The sequence below is a fragment of the Homo sapiens genome, chromosome 3 (genome assembly GCF_000001405.40).
Source record: "Homo sapiens chromosome 3, GRCh38.p14 Primary Assembly".
NCBI lineage: Eukaryota > Metazoa > Chordata > Mammalia > Primates > Hominidae > Homo > Homo sapiens.
This window is the reverse complement of record NC_000003.12, coordinates 124,502,687-124,525,811: the sequence shown is the minus strand read 5'-3', so window position 1 is coordinate 124,525,811 and position 23,125 is coordinate 124,502,687. Positions and strand designations below refer to the sequence as shown.

General features: G+C 41.4%; 1 protein-coding gene across 39 annotated transcripts in view, besides 1 other annotated feature; it reads right to left on the bottom strand.

Moving 5' to 3' along the window:
* Window positions 1-23,125, bottom strand: part of KALRN (kalirin RhoGEF kinase) — a 692,957-nt gene that overhangs the window by 200,514 nt on the left and 469,318 nt on the right. For 15 of the 39 annotated variants that reach the window (NR_170953.1, NR_170952.1, NM_001388417.1 and 12 more), the window contains one exon: window positions 5,962-7,412. The exons of the other annotated variants lie outside the window; for them this stretch is intronic. Coding sequence is in view for 13 of the 15 variants with exons in the window: in NM_001388417.1 (NP_001375346.1) it covers window positions 7,350-7,412 (63 nt within the window). In the remaining 2 variants the exon portion in view is untranslated. Of the gene's footprint in view, window positions 1-5,961; window positions 7,413-23,125 lie in introns of those variants that run through there. 39 annotated transcript variants of the gene reach the window in all.
* Window positions 14,412-15,611: an enhancer, noted in NCBI's record as "CDK7 strongly-dependent group 2 enhancer chr3:124229048-124230247 (GRCh37/hg19 assembly coordinates)". NCBI's record gives its function as "activates an origin of replication core promoter dependent on BRD2, BRD4, P300/CBP, MED14 and CDK7 cofactors, with strong dependence on CDK7, by STARR-seq in HCT116 cells {active_cell/tissue: HCT116}" and the evidence as "EXISTENCE:reporter gene assay evidence [ECO:0000049][PMID:35650434]".

The window sequence follows — 23,125 nt, the reverse complement described above, 5'->3', positions numbered from 1 at the left end:
CAAGTTTGTTGGTTGAATAGTCCCAGAAATACCAAAACATAAAGCAGTAGGTCAGCATCCTTAACAGCAAACGAGAACACAGGAAAGTCTGAGAAGTACAAAGCCTCCTATTTTCATTGCTAACTTCCAGCTGGCCTTGGAGAAGCTCAATTGTGTCAATCAATTTTATCAACCACTTGCTTTTCTCAAGGCCAAGATCCCAGGCAAGTCCTCGTGAATCTGTGAGACACCAGAGCAACACTCAGAGTGCTATCCTTACAGGTCACTCTCGGAGTGACAGTGCCATACCAATAAAATCTAAACTCTCTTTCTACATCAATTATTTTTTATCCCCACCCCCAACCTGGTACTTCCCTTTACTCAGATGCATGCCATAACAACCACCCAGCAGAACTCAACACAGGCAAATCTAAAACCTCCACATTATGTTAGGTATAAAGCTGATTAGAAGGTCACCATTAATAGGTAACAGAATCACTGGACATCCTTACAGATAGAATAACTTTCCTTATTCCACCATCCCAGAAACTCAAAAGCAGACACATAGAAACCCCCTCTCCCATCACTGCTATTTCTGAACTCTCTAAATTCTAACTACGGCTACCATTATCCATGTCCACATCCACCCATGGTAGGCCTGGCTGTACTATCATGCCACTGGCACCTTTGATGGTCATTAGTAAGCCTGGATATAAGCACTGTGCTGAGAAAACTCTCTTCAGGGCCAGGACAGGTTTTCAGAACCAGTAAAAACAGGTTTCAAAGGACAGATCTGAGAACCAGCTGCATATCTACCCTGAACCCCTGGCTTGTGATTCTATTCACGAAGCCCAATCTAAAAAAGAGTGGTCAGAGGCTGAGCCCCTCTAAGCTGCTGAGAGTGTGAAAGGTGCTACACCTTCAGGTAGCTCCACACAAATGGGAGGAAGATGTGTGGTCACCTAACAATCTTATCTTTAACTCTGACTGCACTTTTGGTTTTCTAAACTTGTCTTCCTTTCTGGATTATAAGTTTGAAATATATTTAAGAGACTCATCCTCATAAAAACTGGCCTTTGACACATTTCCTGTGCATATGTATTTGTGTACCTATATGCACATACATACACATTGTTGGACTAGGATCTGAATCTTTCTTATGGGTTCTCTAATACTGATTCAGCTCATTGAATCTTGCATTCCACTCTCTCCCACAACTCAACCTGTTTTCTCTTATGTTCAGTCCTTGTGTTGCAGTGAACATTAATTTTTTTAAAGGATAGTCATTTTCACAGCACACTTTGGAGTCTAAAGCTCAGCAAAACCACATTCACACTGGATCTTTCATCAATATGAAACTTCTAGTCATCCAAGCTTTATGACCCACATATATCAGTTTCCATGGTCCACACATGGAATGTCTACAGCAGATATTAGATCCTATACTGCTCCCTGTTTACCATGCTTTTGGGCTGCCGATACATACCTATCTCTGTGTGTACTCAGAATCGCAGACTAGTTCTCCTTCCTCATCCCACTTTTCTCTTCCCCAGGTGTATTTTATTTCCTAATGGTGCCTATTTTATGTTGGAGCTGAAAAAACTCATCAACTAGCTTTCTTTGAGCATAGAGTACAGAGAATGAAAATGGGGAGCAGCTTGCGTGGGACTGTAACCCACATAGAGAAGACATCCGGATGTTTATGACTCCATGTGATTTAGGGAGTGGTTCTATAACATGCCATGTTCTTTGAGGATAGGATTATTTCAAACTCATTTTTGTAGCCTGTTCAGTGGCTCTTAGAGTGTCTGATACATAGTAAATGTTTACTGAATAAATGAATGGTCCCAATGGCAGTAGAGAAGGAAGAAGATGTAAGAATATCAATGTATTGGGTGACAGATGAGAGCAGATTTAGAAATTAAGCTTCTAAAGCCTTGGGCTGCTGGATAGTCAAAGACAGTATAGAAGCAGAAGGAAGATAGCTCCTTGTGACCCACAGGGTCCCTACCATGAGAGTCAATGGGAGACCTCACTGTCTCACCAAGAGGAGACAGTGCAGACATGGAGAAAATGACTAGAAGGACAAGAACTGGAAAAAAGGATTTTATGCTTCATTTCCATTTTTTGTGGAGGGGTAGGTAGATTTAAATACTCAAGAATGTGATTAACCAGTCATCAGATATAACAAAATCTACTCTCATTTTGCTGGGTACTTTCGTGAAACAGAAAACTTTCAATTATCTCTACTAATGGAATGAAAGCAATGGTACATATAATCAAAATGTCTTTTCTATTTGCCTTTGGAAAGGATTATGTGTGTTTTCCCCCAGCAGGTTTGCTTTCATAATGCTAAGTTCTAGCTTAGGCTAATAACAAAATGAGTTAGCATTTTCTCCGTAAAATACCCAGTGGAGAAGAATAAAAATGTGTTTATGGCAGAAGAAACTGATGCAGGGCCTAGGACGTGACATAGTTAATCACTTATATGAATAATCTACTTGCAGCAAGTGGGATTCTGAACAGGGCAAAAGACCAAGAGCAGCTGTATGTCCTGGATTTTAATGATCCCAGAATAGATGTCTCAGGCGAAAGCTATAGCTAGTGTTATGAAAAATGTTAATGGAGAAAGAAAAATGGAATAGGAGTAAGAGATCTGGGAGTCTCAGACTTGATAGCTCAAGGGAGGCCATATAACCTCTTTTTGTCTCAATTTTCTTATTTATAAAATGTAATAATTCATTTGCACTGCCCACCTAGTAGGTTAACTGGTCAAAAGAAAGTAGTGGTCAAAAGGGCTTATAAAAGTATTACGTTATGAAAATGTAAAGCATTGATAGACAAATAATGAAATACTGTTGGCACCTCCTTTCAGGACACATCCCTTGTTTAATTCCTCCATGCTTGGGGTCTTTGGCTGTGGCTTCTGAAACTTACCCCTGTTCAAAAAAATAGTCCAATTTTTAAACGATTCTGCTGTTTAAGGATAACTACTTTGATAACATCCATGCATCCTAATGAATGGATGCCTCATTTCTCAGGCAATAGCTTCATTTTAACAGGAACCTCCTAGCTATAACAGCTTAATTTAGTGGTTCTCAGACTGTGGTCCCTGGACCACCAGCATTACCTGGGAATTTGTTAGAAATGCAAAGTTTTGTATCCATCCAAATCTTATTGAACCACAAACTCCGGGGGTGCAGCCCTGCAGTCTGTGCTTTAACAATCCTTCCAGGCAATTCTGATGTACACTCAAGTTTGAGAACTACTTCTTTAGTGCCCCACAAAAAGGGAATGCTAGGAATTGGGCATTGGTACATGCCATGAGAAGCTTTTTTTTTCTTTTCCTTTTTCTGTAAGGAGTAGGAAGCAGCTTGTGGGACTTTTCAAATTACACAATATGCTGGCTATTCAGAGCTAGGCCCACAGCGACATGTTAAATCATGTCAAATGCACTGTCACACTTAAAGAGATATATTTATCACCAATTCATTTGTATATTTGTATATGTATAGTATATATATGTATGTGTATATGTACATATGTATATATATAATGATGACTCAGTACATCATTTTCTCAGGAAGGTCTTACATATGTATCTGTATTATATAAATTATATGTATATATGCCTGTGCATATGTACATATGTATGTATATACATACATTTATTTGTCACTAAATAAAGAAAATGATGTACTGAGTACATCATTTTCTCAGGAAGGTCTTTTTCCTGACTACCCTATTTAAAAATGCATCTCTACCTTTGGCACTCCCTACCTTCCTTTCTTATTTTTCTTTGATTCTTCTAATATGCTGTGTTATTTATTTTGTTTATTGTCTGTTTCTCCCAGCTAGAATGTATGCTCCATGAGGGCAGCCTGTTTTGTTCACTGCTGTGTCCCTAGCTCCAAGAACTGTGCCTGGCACCTAGTAGGCACTCAGTATATATTTGTTGAATTAATGAGTGAATAAGCAACTGCTGAATCTGGGAGATGAGAAAGTATTGGGGTGAGACCAAAACACTGAAACACCTGTAAGCACCCTTATTAGTCAGTGTCGCTACAGCATGGGAGCCTTGCCTCTCTCTGTTTCTGCTCTGGGCTCCGAGATAACTCTGAAAACAAGCTTTGGTAAGTGCCACCCTGAGGGATTTAGTTCACTATACTCTTTAATTATCATTTCAAAATACTCTCTGTTTTTTTCTAAAAATGGCAATAGTGTCCTGATGGATCAACATGATTATATGGCTGGCTGGGGCTTGGGGGCAGTCTATTATGGATATGCAGCAGACCAGAGTGTGACATATTAGGGTAGGGAAAACAGTTTAAGAATGAAAATCAGGAGTTCTGAGTTCTAGTCTTTATTCTGGCCCTAACTTGCTACATGGTCTTGGGCAAATTGCTTGGGCAACTAGCATTTCTGGGTCTCAGTTTCATCAGTTGATCTCAATGATCTCCAAGGTCCTTTTCAGTTGTATTTATATATCCACTCATGTGTTACTTGACTAATATCTGTCTCCTCTACTGGTAAGCTCTGTGAGAACAGGGACTGTTTACTCACCCACTTCATAATGCCCAGCGCTTGGAGGCACTCGAAAAATATTTGCTAAGTAAACAAATCCCTATGAAAACCAAATGGTGATTTCCGCCTCATCAGCCTGTGCTCTACACAACAAGGCAAGGGTACATGGATGTGTGCTGCAAAGACCCTGGCCGTCAGGGATCTCCAATCACACAAGGAAGAGCAGGACACTGGTCTGCACCCCGAGGGCATACAGAACTGCATAGTTCCTTGATGTGAACACCTGTGGGAGGTGTGCAAGGAAGACCCCAGGCTGGGCACCTGGGCCATCAGCCCAGTGACCTGGAAAAGCATGGATTTGGGGATGAGAGATCTGAATTTGAATCACAGATCTGCTATGTTCTGGCTGTGAGTTTAAGTTATCTACTTCTCTTCATTTGGAAAACAAAGTACTACCTGCCTCTCAGGATGGCTGTGAAAATTAGAGGATATCAAGTGTCTTCCTGGTACTTGGTGTCAGAAAAGCGCCCAGTGAATGGAAACCTCCTTGACTGGTTCTGCCTCCCCTTCCTTTTATGAAGCCTTTAAGCCATGAGGTTCTTAACAATGCCTCATTTCCCAAAGAGTTGGCCCAAGTTTGTTACTAGCTCATGGGAGTGCCTTAGCTCAGTGGTCCCCAACCTTTCTGGCACCAGGGACTGGTTTCATGGAAGGCAATTTTTCTATGAATGGGAGGGGCGAGCAGGTGGGTAGGGGATGGTTTTGGGATGAAACTGTTCCATCTCACATTATCAGGCATTAGTTAGTCTGCAGCCCAGGGGTTGGGGACCCCTGCCCTAGCTAGTCTTGGCTGGAGGGGCATAAAGATTAGGATTAAAAGTGTTTCTCAAAATATCTACCTTCAGAGATATATATATTTCCCTTTTGCTTCCAGTTTGCCTAATGAGATTTTGAGATTTGTAAATTGCTATAGCTTGATATCAAAAGGTTTAATTTTGTAAATAAAATTTTACCATTGATTATCACTTGAACGTGCTGAGGACTACCACTGAAAAAAGAAAGTTTGAAGTTTGCCTTTCTCTCTTTTTGGCTGCTTTTCTCTCCCTTCTACCCTGCTCCCTCATTCCCTCCTGGGGGAGTCAATTATACTCCTGTTCCTGCCCTGCCCCCTCCTCTGCCTTCCCCCCACCACACTCCTGTTCTACCTATGATTATCTTTATTCTGAAAAACAAATTCTGTTGCTAGGCAACCAGAAGACAAAATTGCTGTGGTTGATATGATTCTCATTAGTGCTGCAATTGCAGTGGTGCCGCCATCATGCCGGACACACGCTCATTGCATCTGTCCCCAGCTTGACAGATCTTTCTGGAAAGTGGGATGGGAAGGGTTCTTGGCAGAGAATTAAGGGCCTCAGCACTCAACAGAAAGTATTTATAAATCACTGTATATCAACAGCCTGCTTTAGAATCATTTTATTAGAACACATTCAAGAAAGTGACATACGGAAAAAAGACAGCAGCAATTCTCAGTCATGCAAATGCCCGTGTTAAAGTTCTCCATTGGATTTAAATTCAAGTACAAAGACAGTCCTTTCCTGAGCCAGGTGCAATTCCAGAGAATGACACTTTGCATTGAGAGCACGATTCCTTCGAAAAGTTCAGAACACTGAACAAGTCACATCCTCACAATAAGATTGTGAGATACATAGAAGTGTAAACTTTTTTAAGGATCCCTTTACCCTGCCCTCCCCCATAACCCAGCCAGGGAAATAAGCCCAACTTCAGGACCTCTCAGAAATCAGGTTTAATCTATTGAAAATAAAGCAGTGGGCCTTTAAAAAAAGTTAGAAAATGAGTGTATATATGAAATGGAATCATCATCTCTGCCTCTTGCCTTGGTGTGGGGTTTCCATGAAACTCTGTGTTTGGGGTTGGGGCTCTCTCTTGAGTGTGTTGGAAACTGGAGGACTTTTAAAACTTTTTTATTATGAAAAATTGCAAACAAATACAGAAGTGGGGAGAATGGTATAATGAATGTCCACGTACCATCATCTAGTTTCAACAATTATCAACATGTGGCCAGTTTTTCATTTATATCTTCTCACTCTTCCCACCCACCCTCAACAGGATAACCTGAAGCAAATAGGGGCTGGTAGGGTGGTCTTTGAACCAGAGACCTCGGGAGGGAGTGAGGTTATGGAGGAGCTAGAAAAACCTGAAAAAATCTGAGTAGGCTGAAGCAAATAGAAAAATTGTTGAGGAAGTGGTTGTTGCCAGTGTTTGGGAAAGGCTAAAGTTAACCCTCATCTTCTCTACCACACATCATCCCTTCTTCTTCTTCCCTCTTTCTCATGATGTGGGGATACAAGCTAGATTAGAATGATGGGTTTTTCCAGATTAGGGGCCACTGATAATAGAAATGTTCAGCCTGGAGAAAAACTTCAGAGATAAGTGTGTCCCTCTAATTAACCTCTTCACTCATGTTGCAGACCTCTAGGGCAGCAGGAGCCTGGGCGTACCTGCTGTTCTGAGTGGGATCTGGGGGAAGTACATTGGGCCATTGGGCCTCTCACAGGTCCCTACTGCCCCACCATTTTAGACTTTGGAGAGAAGCTCAGCAACCTCGAATTGCACCCAGTAGAGAAGAAGGGAGCCCCGAGGGTGAGCCCATGGCCCAGGCGGGGAGATTTTGCTTGGAACATGTTGCCCTCTGAGCAAAGGCTGCACCCCACACCAGCCCTGCCAGAGAAGTCTCAAGAGAGGTGGGTGATTGGAGTCCTGGTGGGAGGTCCCAACGGTGCCACGGCTAACCCGGTGAGCTGCAGGGACAAGTCCCAGGATGCGCGCTAAACGTAAGTGGAGAAAGGATCTCCAGGTCCCAGGTGCCACCGAGGAACAAGGTTGCCATCCTGTTAAGAAAAGGGCCGGGCTCTGTGATTTGCATATAACTTTGCAAAAATCTGCATGAGATCCCGTAGCCCTTATAGAAAACAGAGTTAAATCATCAGTGCAACCTACTGTATTTCTAGTAACCCAGTGCAGAGTGCAACCTGAAAAATACACAATCATTTTGTAGAAGAGGATATAGAGGAAACAGTGTGTGTAAGACTTTCCTTGGTCTGACGGTTCAGAAGAAGCCCACCAGGTCCACAATCCAGAGGAGGATCACTGATGAACCACTTTTACTAACTTGGTTGGAACTCAAATCCATACGCTTTCATCCCATTAGACGCCTGTAGACCAGTCCTGCAGTGGCTTCCCAACGTTCCAGACCCATAAGCAGGAGTAGTCAGGAATAATAGAAATGGGGATGCATTAAATGTGAGATCCTAGTGACAGTGATCATTAGTGTTTATTTCATATCCTTTATTTGTTTTCTTGTTTAAGCTCTTTTAGGGTCCCTGTGCCCTACCAGCAAATCTTGCTATATAACATTTAATTGGGAGAAAGAAACTGACAAAAGTTTACCCATTTATATAGTACATCGTTGACAGTAATGGACTTAAAATTCATGATTTAACTGTTTCCAGGGACCATGACAGGTGACAATCTGTAATTTTTCCAAGGCATGCAGCTGGTTTGGGTAGACTGCAAGGCTGGCTGAGGGAGTGAATTCCTGAGTGAGAGAGTGAACGAGTGGGGAGCCAAGCTGGAGACCCAGCTTCCATATCCAGCATGGCTTCCACCATCTCTACTGGGCCATCTGAAGCAATGAAATCACTGTTTCCTTAAGAAAAATGACCTCTCAAGGAAGGTCAACTTGTAATGCTCTTGGAAGAGTGATATATTCTAAAGAGCAATGGCTCTTGGCCAAAAGAAAAGTTCAGGATCAATTCCAGAGTATAATCTCACAGTCTCACATTGACTGTGGCTCAGCTCCATGATGTGAAAGGTTCTATCACACTTGCCGCATGGAAATGAGAAAAACAGTCTGAAACTCTCTTAGTAAGAACTCCAGCTGGGCAAAAACTGTTCATTTAGTGAGAGAAAATACTTCAGCATCAAGCTGAAGTGGCAGTTACCCTGAGCTTCCAGGAATATAAGGTATACTTAGGATTCAGAGAGGAGATGAGATTCTGAAGAAAGCCAGGAGCTATACACATGCATTTGTGAAGTAACTCACAGCAAAAGGACTGGTGAACTCACTGAGCCCAACTTTACAGGGCAAAAGTGGCTTAAGAATTTTAAATCACGGCCGGGCATGGTGGCTCACGCCTGTAATCCTAGAACTTTGGGAGGCTGAGGAGGGCGGATCACGAGATCAGGCGTTCGAGACTAACCTGGCCAACACAGTGAAACCCCGTCTCTACTAAAAATACAAAAGTTAGCTGGGTGTGGTGGCAGGCGCCTGTAATCCCAGCTGCTAGGGAGGCTGAGGCAGGAGAATCACTTGAACCTGGGAGGCGGAGGTTGCAGTGAGCCGAGATTGCACCACTGCACTCCAGCCTGGGTGACAGAGTGAGACTCCGTCTCATGTACTCTAGAACTAAAATATAATTAAAAAGAAAAAAAAAACAAGAAAGAAAGAAACAAAAAAAAGAATTTTAAATCACATTTTTTCTGTGTGTAATGTCATTAGCATGGAAGGTGGCATCAGCTGTCCTGATTAGCTAGACACCCCCACACACACCATAATTCACTGTCATTACCAGGTTTTTTTTTTTTTTTTTTTATAGATGTGCTACAAGGCCTACAGAATTTATTTTAGTGGCAGGATTTAATAGTCTTATAAATGCTGAGTTTGGCATTCTGCTCTTTATACGGTTGTTAAAATTCTGAAGAGGATAGCAGTTTAAAAATATTTTTATTGTTCTTATTAATAGCTAACATTTATTGAGTGCTTACCACATGTCTGACAAGGTGCTGAGTGTTTCACATGCATCATTTCACATGATCTGCACCACAACCTCATGGAGTGGGTAATACCATTGCCCTCATTTTGCAGACTGAGGCCTGGAGAAGTCCTGCCCAGGATCATACAGCTGGCAAGTGGAGGGGGTGAGATCTGAACCAAGGTTTGTGTGACTTCAAAGCGGTTCTTAATCACTGTACATGTTGCCTCTTCTAAAGGAGAATCCATCTTCTAAATAATATTTGTACATTTGTATGTTTGTGGATTCTAAAAATCTTGGAAAGCATTCCTCACATAAGAATCTATCCTGTCCCTGAGGACCTAACCTGAAGTGGTTTGGGTCACTTCATTATATATATCCATTGGGGGTTAAAGAAAATTTCTTATCCCCTTTTAAACCTTAAGCTATGATGATCTCTGTATATCCACAAATCTTTCTCATGATGGTTTGATGTGTGAGAAATAGGAAATAGGTGATAAACTCATATGGGTGATACTGAACACTTGCTCCCTTAAGCCCTGAGAAAATACATACACAGTTATCCAGGAAGCCATTATTTTATATAGCCCACTTGGTACCTTAAAAGAGTGGTTAAACTAAACATCAATGCATAGCTCTTAACTTTAAAAATGATAGTCATTCATGACATTATTGAGATGATTTTTCAAAAATCTGGCCTAGGGCAAGGACTAGTGGAAAAAGTTTAAGTGGAAGTGTGAAAAAGAGACCATTAAATTTTTTTTTGAAATGCCAGTAATTTCTCTTCTTTGAGAAAACAGCTCTCAGCTTAGAGTTCATATACATTTCATATCCAATAACTCTATACTTTGGCTTTCTGATTCCATAGGCCAGTGTAGAGCCTGAGATCAACTTTTTGAAATATTTGCCTGGTAATTCTAAGGGTCACTTGCCTTGGAATGCTTAGCACAGAGGTCTTTTCTTTATGCCAATCACTCCAACATCAGAAAAGCTGAGTTTTGCAGGATATCAAGCACATTTTCACATTTTCCAGCACACATTGTCCAGAAGCACTTGTCTTTGGCATTTTCCATCAGGGGCAAGAATCAGTGAGACCCACTTTATAGGACAGTGGCTTTTATTAACCAAACCTTCTCAGCATTCTTTTTTATGAGGGGAGGGTATGCTAAAATTTCCCCTATCTCCCCCTATTCATGTACAGACTCCTTCATATAAATGCTGTTTATTTAATATACTGTAGGCCCCATTCTAATGTTAGACTTTTGGAATAAGAGCTGAGCTATAGTGAGACGTTTTGCATTCATTGGACATCCAGTGATAGAAAAATAGCCACAAAAGGAGAACATGTTTATTATATTATACCTTTTCTCGTTCCACTAAGAATTTGAGGCAGTTATTTTGCAATAGATTTTCAAATGCATCTTCAGTCGACTGCATGTTTCCAATGTTTTTTGTCTGATGGATTAGAAAACCATGGAGGCAGGGATGTGCTTGAATTGCTATTCGTATGGCTAAGACAGAATAAACAGCCTCCTCTAAATTCCTGACTCATGCCATGCTCTGCTTGGCACAGAAGACAGTGAGTGATTAACAGACAATACATGGAACACAGAATTTTCTTGGTTTTTAAATTCAAGTGTGTTTTATTCAGCTTATGAGAAGAGGGAACTGATAGAATTTATATTATTTGGGCCAAAATGTTGCTTTGTGTGTTTTTGCCTGAATCATCCAATTGTTTTCTTTAGTGGACTTGGCCAGTGGAAGGCAGTGTGCATAATGGATATCAGAAACACCTGGGTTCAAATCTCATCTCTGCCACTTTCTGGTTGTGTGACCCTGGGTAAATTATTCAACCTCTTGGAGTGACGTTTTCCTCATCTGCAAAATGAGGATAATGATACTTACCTTGAAGAATTGTTGTGGGAATGACAGGAGAGAGTACATGTAAAATGCCAGGCTCATATTAGGAGTTCAGTAAGAAAGGCAGTGGTTACTGTTAGTTGCTTAACCTCTGGATGGCTTGCTTGCAGGCAGCCTTTGTGATTTTCTCTGCCTGCCCAATTATAGCAGTGACTTCTTAGGGAAAGGCCTGTATCTCTTCCATTAGATCGGGTGGGGAATTCTGTCCTTGGCAGGGACTTTTAGGGAAAAGCCTGTATCTCTTCCATTAGATGGGGTGGGGGATTCTGTCCTTGGCAGGGACTTTATGTATTCTGTGTTCCTTCATTACCTACAGAGGAACTCTGTGAATACTATATTAACTGGTTTTAAAAAGGCTTTCTCCACCTCAGGTTTCAAACCAGAGCCCAGACTGGAAATATCACTTGATGCAGCCATCAGAATTAAAAACTGAGATATACAGTAACAAAAATATTAAATACTGCATAGAGAGAAGACATAAATTAATACCATGAAACACACTTTCAGGTCAGCTCTTTTCAAGGACTGATTTTTGCGACCTTCTTATTTGTTTTATCATGCATCCTACTCTGCCTGAAGGGTCTCCTTTTGAATCTAGATGTTTGTGTTTGCTGCTCATGTTGACCCCAGGGCTCTTCTTCCCAAATTCTATAAGGAGGTTACTGATAAAGACAGGCTGGCTGAGCGGTCAGCGATGAGCAGGAAGGCCTCGTAGGTGGTGCGGAGGTATGCCCACCTGTTATGCTGCCTCCTGAGTGACAGGCTGGCCACACCCACCCCAGTGCAAAGACATCAGCCACAGCCAGCAACATTCAATCTATGTTTTTCCTCTTGCCATTTTTCCCTCTGCTCAGGGAACCCTCTGAGAGAACTCTGAACCTAGGCAGTGTGGGAGAGACATCCTGGAAAATACTTGTTTCATGTCATTTTTTGTTTGTTTCCAATTTAGAAAGGTTAGAAATAGTTTCTTTACCAGAAAACCTTCCCTCTGTCCTTAGACTGTGGGAGAGGAGGGAAGAGAGGGTAATGGGTTCGGGGGAGCTGTCTTGACCCACCTCCTGTTTAAAAGCTTGCTGCTCACACAGTGGCAAACGCTTTCCCTAGTGGGCGCTCTCTGTGTCCTCCTGACCTGGGTCCCCGTGTCCCCATGCTGAGTCACTCTGGGAACCCCTCCCTCTGGAATCACAGAAAGTAAACACCAAACTGGAAACACGTCTGCTTCTCTCTCCCACTGCATATCTCTTCATGAAAATGTCTCATGAATTTGAAGCTATATTTCAAGCTTTTCCTCACCTTTTCCACAGGTCTCTAGACTGCGGGGTTTTGGGGTAAACCTTCAAGAACTTCTTATCCCCTTCCTGCTCCCAGCCCCCTACCCCCTGAATTTTCTTTCTCTTTCTTTTCACAGTCCAAGGCTCCTGACCTTCACAACCAAACAAAGTTGCCAGTTCTTCAGCTCACAACCTCTGCCAGTCCTGCAAGTCAGCCTGAATTCACTGTCTGACTGCCTTCTTGAATCCCAAGGTCCTGAGAGCGGATCACCCTGTTCTCTGCTAGGCACCTGCTCGTCCCTCACCCTTGGTTCATGCAGAGGGTGGACCCCAGCAACTATCTGATAATCTTGTTCCTTTCTGGTCTTTAAAAAATAATATCTATTAGGTTTTTGTTAAATTTATTATGTCATGTTGTAAGACATAATACAAAAACTAAAAAAGACACCACCCAGAAATACCCATTATTTACATTCTGGTGTATTTTCTTCATATATACATATATGCATACATACATGCACATACGTATGTATGTACATATGCATAAACACACATACAAACACACATGTGCACATACATATTCCCCCTTCATGTTTTTTTTTAAATTTTTAATTGTTTTTATTTTTTATTTTTCCAAGACAGAGACTTGCTCTGTTTCCCAGGCTGGAGTGCAGTGGTGTGATCTCAGCTCACTGCAACCTCTGCCTCTGTGGTTCCAGCAATTCTACTGCCTCAGCCTCCTGAGTAGCTGGGATTACAGGCGTGTGCCACCATGCCTGGCTAATTTTTTGTATTTTCAGTAGTGGCAGGGTTTCACCACGTTGGCCAGGCTGGTCTCAAACTCCTGACCTCATGATCCACCCGCCTCAGCTTCCCAAAGTGTTGGGATTATAGGCGTAAGCCACCGCACCTGGCCACCCCCTTCATGTTTAAAAGCAAAATTAGTCTTTCATATTGAGAGAGAATAGGAAGTGGGGGCAAAAATAACTCCAGGCTACAGCTCAGGTAAGCCCTGTATTGCGCCAGCGACAGTCATGAGCTTGTGGAGGACCCGACTTACTAGTTTATGTCACTGGCCTAATGGCCAGGGAAAATATCCAAGTTCTTGCCCCTCAAACCACATAGATGAATACTTCTTACAGAGTATATGGGAAACACACTGAGGAACACACACACAAATTCATAAATATACACAAACCAGAGATATATACATAAAACATATCATTCAAATTACTGTTTGTGCTCTTTCTGTGAAAAGCTACTTCTACCTCAGTGTGCTGCAGGTAACACACAGTAGCAATCATAAGCCTGTGTTCATGGATCTTGTGATTCAGTGGTTGAGATTAAAAACTAACCCATGAGAAACAATAGCAAACCAGAAGGAGATACAGTCTCACAAAATGCTGAGGGATGGGATTCCAGTAATCACTCTAATGATGAAGATGTGTTCCAGGAATACTTTCCTGAGGTCAGAAATGTACCTCTCAGGACAGATAAATAATTTTGGAGACACAGTGATGCAGTATAGTTTGGTAGATGAAGGCAATTTTGAGATCATTATCTGTTACTGAAGCTGATCACACACGTACTGGAAAACACACATTGGAGGAGAGGTTTGCAGACTGCCTGGGACCCAGGGGAGGAGCAGGGGCAGAGGGAAGGGGCCTGCTCACTGGAGGCTCTAGGTCCTAGAAAGTGCTATGTGGTTTGGGAGCCATGCTCTTCTTCTAGAAGCTCCCAGGGACAGACCTTGCCTATTATACAGAATATGCAGCAGGCTGAGGAATATGCTATCATGAGAGTCCTCCAGTGGAAGTCACTTGAGCAAGAGGATAGAGAGTGAAGGAGGGCCACGATGTCTACAGACAAAGCTGTGGATGGAATCTGAGAAAAGAGTAGATCAAGGATGTGGTATATGATGAGTTTAGTTTCAGTTCTGTCGAGTAGAATGCAAGAGGTCATCCAAATGCAGTTATGTCATAGACAGTTGGAAATACGGTGCTGGATCCCAGGGTGAAAGGCAAGCGCTAGGAACAGAGAGTGTTCAACTCATTGTTAAGAGTACAGCTTTATGCTAAGCAACATGGCAAATACAAAGTAAATTCAGGGCAACGTATGCCCTGAATGTTAAAGAATAATGTTTGACTAGGGGAAGGGGAGAGGAGAGGGGCAATATTAGTGTAGGTGGCTCTGTGGGGATGAGGGGAAGGGCATGGATTAATGTGGAGAGCAGTGGGCATTTCCAGATATGAAAACCAGCCTGTTTTGTTTCCCTGCCGTGTTTCCACCCTAGAGCAGCACTTAGCACCTAGTAGGTACTCAGAAAAAAAATGTGGAGAATGAATGGGTAAGTGAATATGAAATTGGCATTAGCAGTACAGTCACTTCAGAGACATACTCTTGTGTTTCGAATTTTGATCATAGATATCAGAAGTGAAGCAACAAAAACTATTGTTGAAGAATGGGGAGTTTTAAAGAAAGAAGATTCAGGAGTAGAAGTTCAAGAGCAGTTCTCATTGGGAGCATGAGGTAACAAATAAGCATTAGATGGCAGAGGAAAAGGAGGTGTTTGACAATATGAGAAAGAGAAGAGGTGCTGAGTTGATACACTGACGGCAGCTACAAAGAAGGAGATCCAGAACTTGTGGATGGACTAACAATAGACTGTTTTGGAGGCTAGAGAATGAAAGAATAAAAGGACAATGACGCATCAAGGTGAGGATAAACGTAATTCTATAATCATCATGCTGAAACAAAAAAAAAACCCTCAGCATTTTTTGTGTGCTACTCAATAAAGTCTAAATTCCTTTGAATGGTGTTCAGCATCTGCCATGATGTGACTCAGCCAATCATTCCAGTTTTATTTCCCAAACCTTAATTCACAAACCCTGAACTTGAACCAGGCATACTGACTCTCCATGCCCCAAACTTACCCTATATTCTCCTTTCTCCCTTACCCCTCACTCTTGCTGTTTGATCCATTTGGAATGATCTTCCTCCTTGCTCCCAACACGAATCTTGCCTGGATAAATTCTACCCATTCAGTAAAATCTAACGTGGAACATTCTCTGATCTTCCCAAACTGGAAGCTTTAGTTTTCTTAATTACATTTGGTCCCAGTTTCTAGATCTCTCTCTTGCCCACAATGCCAAACACATCACATTGTGCTTGTTTGTTCTGGTGTAGTGCGAAATACAAGCGATGACCTCAGAACACACCCAGCCATATAGCACTCCTGATAGCTTCACTAAATAGAACCACACTATTGGAGTTAGTTCCTCCATCAGCTTTTGCTTTCATAGCTTTTCTGTATCCTCCCTTGCTGTCAACAGTTTAGCCTTTGTGGCAATACATGTGCCTATAGAGAAGTAACTTTCTCATCTTCTAATATCCTTTGGGTTGAGTAACTAGATGGCAAAGATCATAAGGATTATATATAAAATTAAGATTTGAAAGGCTTTCCTGTGAGCAACAGATGTTTAGTTTTGCTAGTTTCTTCCTAGATTTTGGCTGTTTGTCAGACATCTAAGATCCAAAACCAACAAATTTAGTACCTTTTTTCTAGCATATTTCATTGCTGCATCTCTATTACCTGCATATAATGTATAGAGTGAAATGTAACAAACATTAATTTAAAAAAGTCAACTTCTTATTCCTTCATTAAAATAGAGGCATACTTAAGGATTAACATAAACTTGCATTATATATTAAGTTTCCATGTTGGTACACTATTCTGTGGAGAAACAAATGGTGAACTGTACCCTAAAATACTAAATGTGGTTGGGAGCAGTGGCTCATGCCTGTAATCCCAGCACTTTGGGAGGCCGAAGTGGGTGGATCACTTGAGGTCAGAATTTGAGACCAGCCTGGCCAACATGGTGAAACTCCGTCTCTACTAAAAATACAAAAATTAGTTGGGCGTGGTGGTGTGCACCTGTAATCCCAGCAGCTCTGGGGGCTGAGGCAGCAGAATTGCTTGAACCCGGGAGGTGGAGGTTGCAGTGAGCTGAGATTGTACCACTGCACTTCCAACTTGGGTGACAGAGCAAGACTCGGTCTCAAAAAAAAATACAAAATGTAAGAGATGCCTCATATGTCACATCACATGAGCCTCTAACTTACCAATGTATAGCCTTCAGAATATCAAAGTGTATGTGTTTATCAAGACACAATAAGGAGAACGAAAAGATTTGCCACAGGGTGAAACATATTACATACATGACCAACAAAGGACTAATATCCAGAATATATGAACTTCTAAAAATAAATAAGAAAAGCCAAACAACCCACTGTACACACAGGTAAAAGCTTGAACCAGGGACATTATAAAAGAGAAAATCAAAGGCCCAATACAAACAGGAAAAGATGTTCAACTTGATTAGTAAGCAGGGAAACACGAATTAAAGCCATAAGTAGATATCAATACACATCCACCAGATCTGTAAAAATTTTGAAGTCTAACAATACAAAGTAGTGGTGAGGATATAGAGCAATGGAAAACTTCATATATATTGGCAGGAGTGTAAATTTGGTATCGGCACTTTGAAAAATAGTTGACATCTTCAAGTAAAGGTGAAAATATACACACACATCCTATCACCTAACAATTTTACTTTTAGTTTTATACCCTAGAGAAATTCAAGTACACATGCACAGGGGTATGTATACCAGAATATCCATAGCAGCATTGTTCACAATTGCCCCAAACATTGCATGTACAGAATGGATACATTGTGGTATACTCACACAATGGAATACTATATAATGATGAAAATGAATGAACTATACACATCAGCATCGATGAATCCCATAAAAATAAGTGTTGAGCAACAGAAGTGAGACACAAAAGGATATATGTAGAATGATTCTAGTCATATAAAAACAGCCACATTGAGATGAAATTGTTTAGGGATACCTGCATAGAAGGTAAAATTATAAAAAAAGTAAAGACACTATTATGCATGCAAGGAGAATGGTGACCTCCAGGGTTGTGACCAGGGAGGGGCACAAACGGGGATTCTGAAAAGCCAGCAATGTTCTATTTCATGACCTGCATGGTTTTTACATCTATGTTCACTTCATAATTATCCATTAAATTGTTCAGTTCTGTTTGTACATTTTCGCATATATATTTTGCATTTTGAAAAATTTAGAAAGTTTGATATAAATCAGATGTTTGTACTTAAGAATACATTTTATCTATAGAAATAAGATGGTAAGTAACATTTAATCAGATTGACCCATAACTTTCAGTTAGGTAATATAAATACTGTACATTTCAATTAAAAAATAATATAGAATAAATATTTTGGGACCAAAATTGATACAAAGAAGGAAAAACAGAAAGGAAGATGAACTTCAAGGCCAAGCTAAAATTTCACTTCTGATGTAAAAGTCTTCTTTGGTTCCCAGGCAAAATTTATCTTTCAAAAAGTATGCTTCTGGTTTAAATGTAACATATTGGGTGGTAAATGTGTATCTCATCTGGCACATTTGTCTTTGTAACTTCTCTGAGGCCTAGCACAACAACTGGCTTAAAGGAAGTGCAAGTACAACTGTCCCCCTTCATAAATACATATAATGTGTATATAGCCACCCTATCATCACATACTGTCACATATTATCAATTGGGGTGTGAACTCAGAAGACTGGGCAGAAATAGAAGTTGTTTTGATATATTCTGAATCTCCGTGGTATCTGGTCATCAATGGACACAATTAAATTTTGTTCAATAAAAGAATGAATTCAGTGTACCAATATACTTGAAATAATTTTCTGTTCTGCCTAAATTTCATTCTTCCGTGTTAACAGAACTTTCTGTTTGGGCATGTATCAGTGGTAGTTCCTAGTAGTTTGCCCTCCAAATAACAGCAAATTTCATGGTTGGGACTTCATATTCCCCTGTTGGCAGTATTGTCTTAAATTTAAATGTCAGAGAACATATTTTAGAAGTCTTTCTCTTTTAAGATTTTTAAAGAATTTTTTAAATTAATGCAGTAAGCATTCCCCTTTAAGAGACTGTGTGGAAAAAGGCCTAAGAACCGTGACCGTTCTCATTTTGGGGGTGGCAGGATGAAGTGGGGTGGGGAGGTGAAATAAGTTACAGATTTCAGGTTCCATGATTTGAAGTACCTCTCTTTAACAAACTACACCCACTCCATATACCTTCAAATCCTTTTTCAAGAAGAATTTTTCTTTTTTTCAAACAATAATCTGAAATGTCTCAAAATTGGGCATATTCAGGCTATCAGCACAGCAGAGAAAGGTCTAAGCAGGAAACGAGGGTGCTGTGTGTGCTTTCTTCATTGCCATATCCTCTGTGTCTACAATAGTGCCTGGCACATGGTAGAAGCTCAGAAAATGACTGATGAATTAATTAGTAAATGAGATAAAAAGACAGCCTACATGAAAATCCCAAGTAAAGGAAAATATAATGAATTTTTAATATCTTCTATTGCTCATTAAGCCAATCTGTTTTCCATGTGTAAATGAGGAACAGCAAACAGTAAGTGAAACTTTAAAAATTCTATTCTTGCAGAAAGGACACTAGCTAGCAGGAGAGAGGGTACAGATGTAGTAAAAAAAATAGAGCCTGGGTTTTCCTCCAGCACCTCATAACATTCAAAGAGGTATTTAAGTCCTTGCAGTTGAGTTGCCACAGGGCAGAAAGCAATGTATATAGGAGCATTCACAAAGCATTCTTTAGCCAGGATCAGCAGCGGTCATGCAGAAAGCATCTCTCCTGAAATTCTAGTTAATGTATACCTCTCTCTGCAATTAGCAATTTCAAAAAGAACTAGAATTCTTAAAGAAAAAAAAATTAGACTATCTGAACATTCTGAACATGTAAGACTCAACTTTAAGTTCCTACAAATGGGAGAGACTGAAAACAAACTGCCAGCCTGATATGAGAACATGCGTGCTCAACACAACCAGGGCCATATCTGCATGGGACATGGCGGGAGAAGGATGAGAAGGCTGATTAGTAGTGGGGCAAGTGTCTGGTTGAAAATAGGAGTGGACATCTGTCCTGGTCTGATCTATACAGTTCTGCATCTTCTTTTAGCAGTTTTCTCCCCAAAAGAAGAGCTCTCAAGCCTGAGGCAAGGTGCCCTTAACTGGCATCTACTACTACTGACCACTCCTGGAAGAAGCCCTGAGGACATTACGTCCTCACTGTTTCACCATAGAGGATCTTCGAACTTGTTTCTCTTGACAAAGCCGGCTTTTTAGCAATGTGGAAGGTCTCACCTCACACACCCATGTATTCACCCACTCCCATCATCCAACTGCCACTTTGGTTGTGGCAGACAGTTTGGCAGTAGTCACCAGAAGTGATGAAGTGACACTAAACTGCCAGGTAGGTGAAACCCAGGCAAGAATTTTCAACCCAAGCTCAAGATCACAAAAAAGAGTTACATTTTCCCACTTGTCTGGTCAACAAGATCTTTCCAAGAATTCTATGTTATGGCCACAGATGACATTGTTATGTTTTATACCACAGCACATACGGTAAAGGGAGCTCCAGCGAAAGCAGAGCCACAGCTTCAAAGCCACCTCCAGCCTGCCCCACCTACTCTACATTGCTTTGGCTCCAGAGGTTCTTGTCTAGCAAATTTTCGCTTAAAGATTTCTTGTTTTATTTTTTGTTTGTTTTTTTGAGACAGGGTCTCACTCCAGGTTGGAGTACAGTGGTGCAATCACAGCTCACTGAAGTCTCAATCTCTTGGGCTCAAGCAGTCCTCCCACCTCAGCCTCCCTAGGAGCTGAGACTAAGGCATGTGCCACCATGCCTGGCTAATTTTTGTTTATATATTTTGTAGAGATAGGGTTTCACCATGCTGCCCAGGCTGGTCTTGAGCTCCTAGACTCAGCTGATCCACCCACCTTGGCCTCTCAAAGTAGTAGGATTACAGGTGCAAACCACCATGCCCAACTCCTTCTGCTTAAAGTTTTTAAGTTTATTTTCATGCCTACCAGAAGAGCTTGCCTCTAGGTACCACACTTCCAATATCACTTCTAGTCATCCTGGAACTCAACTTTTGAAGAACAAAATTTCCCATTCCCTGTTTCCCCTACCATTAGTTTTGACAATGTGGATTCAGTCATTTTGTTCTATATGAAAATAACTTTTTCTCCTTAATTGATACAGAAGGAAGAAAGGGTAAGTGATACATCAAAAGGTCTGTACAGAACACTCCAGTAAAATCCTTGCCCTGAAAGCCACCACTTCTCTACCTGCAGGCTCCAAGCTTTGCTCTCCCCTCCCCTCCCTCCAACCATGCCATCTCCCTTCTTGTACCCCTTCCCCTGGCAGAACTGCAAGTGTACTCACTTGAGCCTTGTTTGCCTTGGACTGTCTCCAGCTAATCCACTTTAACATCTTGGCTTGCTCTCAGATTTGCTTTCTCCTTCCACCAAAATTCTAATAATAAAGTGGATTTCAATTTGAGTTGGGCTGTGGTGGGGCTGAACTGGTTCTGGCAGCTCAGTCCTCCCAGGCAGCTCTGAAGCAGGGATCTGCCTTGCCACATCCCAGTGCTCACTGCCAAGCTCTCAGAGCCCAACCAGAATTTGCTTGAGAGGCTGGAAGATTCTGTCTAGGGCAGAATCACACTCCCACCAAGGCTATGATGTGAGTCACGAGTACTTGGCATCAATGAGTCTGTGATAGGCATTAATACTTGCCACATGCCAACCCTGAAGCCCCTGGACTGGGCTACAGAACCACTTTGTAATTTACTTTGTGTTGCTGTGGATTTGCTGGGGCAGAGTGGGAGGTGATGCAAGGACATTCAGCATAGTGGGTGGATGGGAGGGTAATAGTAGGGTTTTCTTTCTGTTGCAAGGATCAAGCTGAACCATCAAGGTTACTACAAAAGCACTGCTTTTAATCCAACTTACCAGGCAGGAGATTGACCTGGTTTTGAATCTTAGGTCTGCTGTTAAGTGGCTTCATGACTCTAGGCAAGTCACTTTTTTTTTTTAAACAGAAGGAAGAGGGCTAGATGATCTCTAAGGTTCCTTTCCTTCCTAAGATTCCATGATTTCAAATTCCAAACTCACATTGAATCAGATCTAGTCTCTGGTTACCCTTGCAGCTATCACCTATAGATCTCATCTACTGGCAAATCACCTTTTCCAGTGTCCCTATTTCTGTAACAAGTACTTGTATAAACCTGAAACAAATTTTTATGCGGGTCCAAGTGCTCTGAGTACCACGAGAGCACTTCCGAGGTTTCCTGCAAGCTGCGTGTGTTCAGCAAACTACTCACTGTCTGCTATATTTTATGAAACTTACTTGCTTTTGCAGACGATTGGCAATTTTAATGATGGGTTTCTTGAGGGAGGTTTTTAAGCTATGGAATATAAATCAAAATATTAAGTAAAATAATGCTGATATGAAATATTTTGCCCTGTGAACCTAGGTTGTATTTTTCAGCAAAGTATATTTCATACCCTTTGGTGGTATGCAACAGCTGGAAGCCAGTCATTTATTTGAAGAAATTTCACTTAGAGGAAAACCTGTGACTTCGATTCCTCACACTTTATCAACTTGTTCTGAAAAGCCCACACATTTGTACTGTGTCGAATGTCTCTGAGGAGAGGATGGAGTTGTGCTTCTGGGAGGTGAGAGGGCAGCCAGAGGTGGGGAGCTGCAGGCATACCGAGTACCACAGAAACCTCTGCATTTTGTTGCTCTCTGCTCCTTCTCCTCCTCCTCCAGCCACCTGCCTACCACAGATAAAAGTAACAAAGGAACTATACTGGGAAGAAAGTTATTTTCAAACCTAGCTCTGGACTTGAATTATTAAGAAAGCTAAAAAAAAAAAAGAAATTACAATTTGGGCTTAGAGTGGAGATGGTATTTTTCCTACTTTGGGGTGAATATCAAGTCCTTGAGAAAAATCAGAGTGTTTCTATCGGATTTATACAGCAATTCTAATCCTGTATGCTGTCAGGTGTGGGATGTGACTGAGACTCGAGATTACGCAGCTATATTATAAAGCCCAAGTTTAGACTTCAGATATATCTACTCCAGGCCCTGGTAACAGGAAGTGCAATTATATATACTTTTCAGGTATTTATTTAAGGGTTTGAAGTGTTTTTTACTAAATGGCAGGCAGCATAATCTCTCCCTAATAAGAAATATTTCATGGGCCCCTCCAGCCCCACTGAGACAAAGGGCAGAGTAATACTAGTGCTGAGGAATTTTTCCCAGAGACCTATCCCATTTTTCCTGCCTTTAAGATAGCACACTTAATGGGCTGGATCTCCAGTGTGTGGTGCCACTGTCCAGGGACCACAGCTAAACCTAACATGCTGTCACAGCCACATGCTGGAGACCCGGTCTTGGATGGACCATCGTGATGGTTTTCAAGAATGTGTCAAGTGAAAAATATTACCATGTGAAGTGCTAAGATTTTTATCAATCCTAATGCTGCCAAGTCTCCACATTTCCAGATGTTTGGTTTTCTCTTCAGTGGCAAAACACAGTGGTCTGTGGCCCCTTGAAACTCTAGGGGGCATGTTGCTGCCTGTTTTCTTGCACATGAGTGCCCCACAGTCCCCTGGGCAGTGACCTACCCCAGGTCTTCT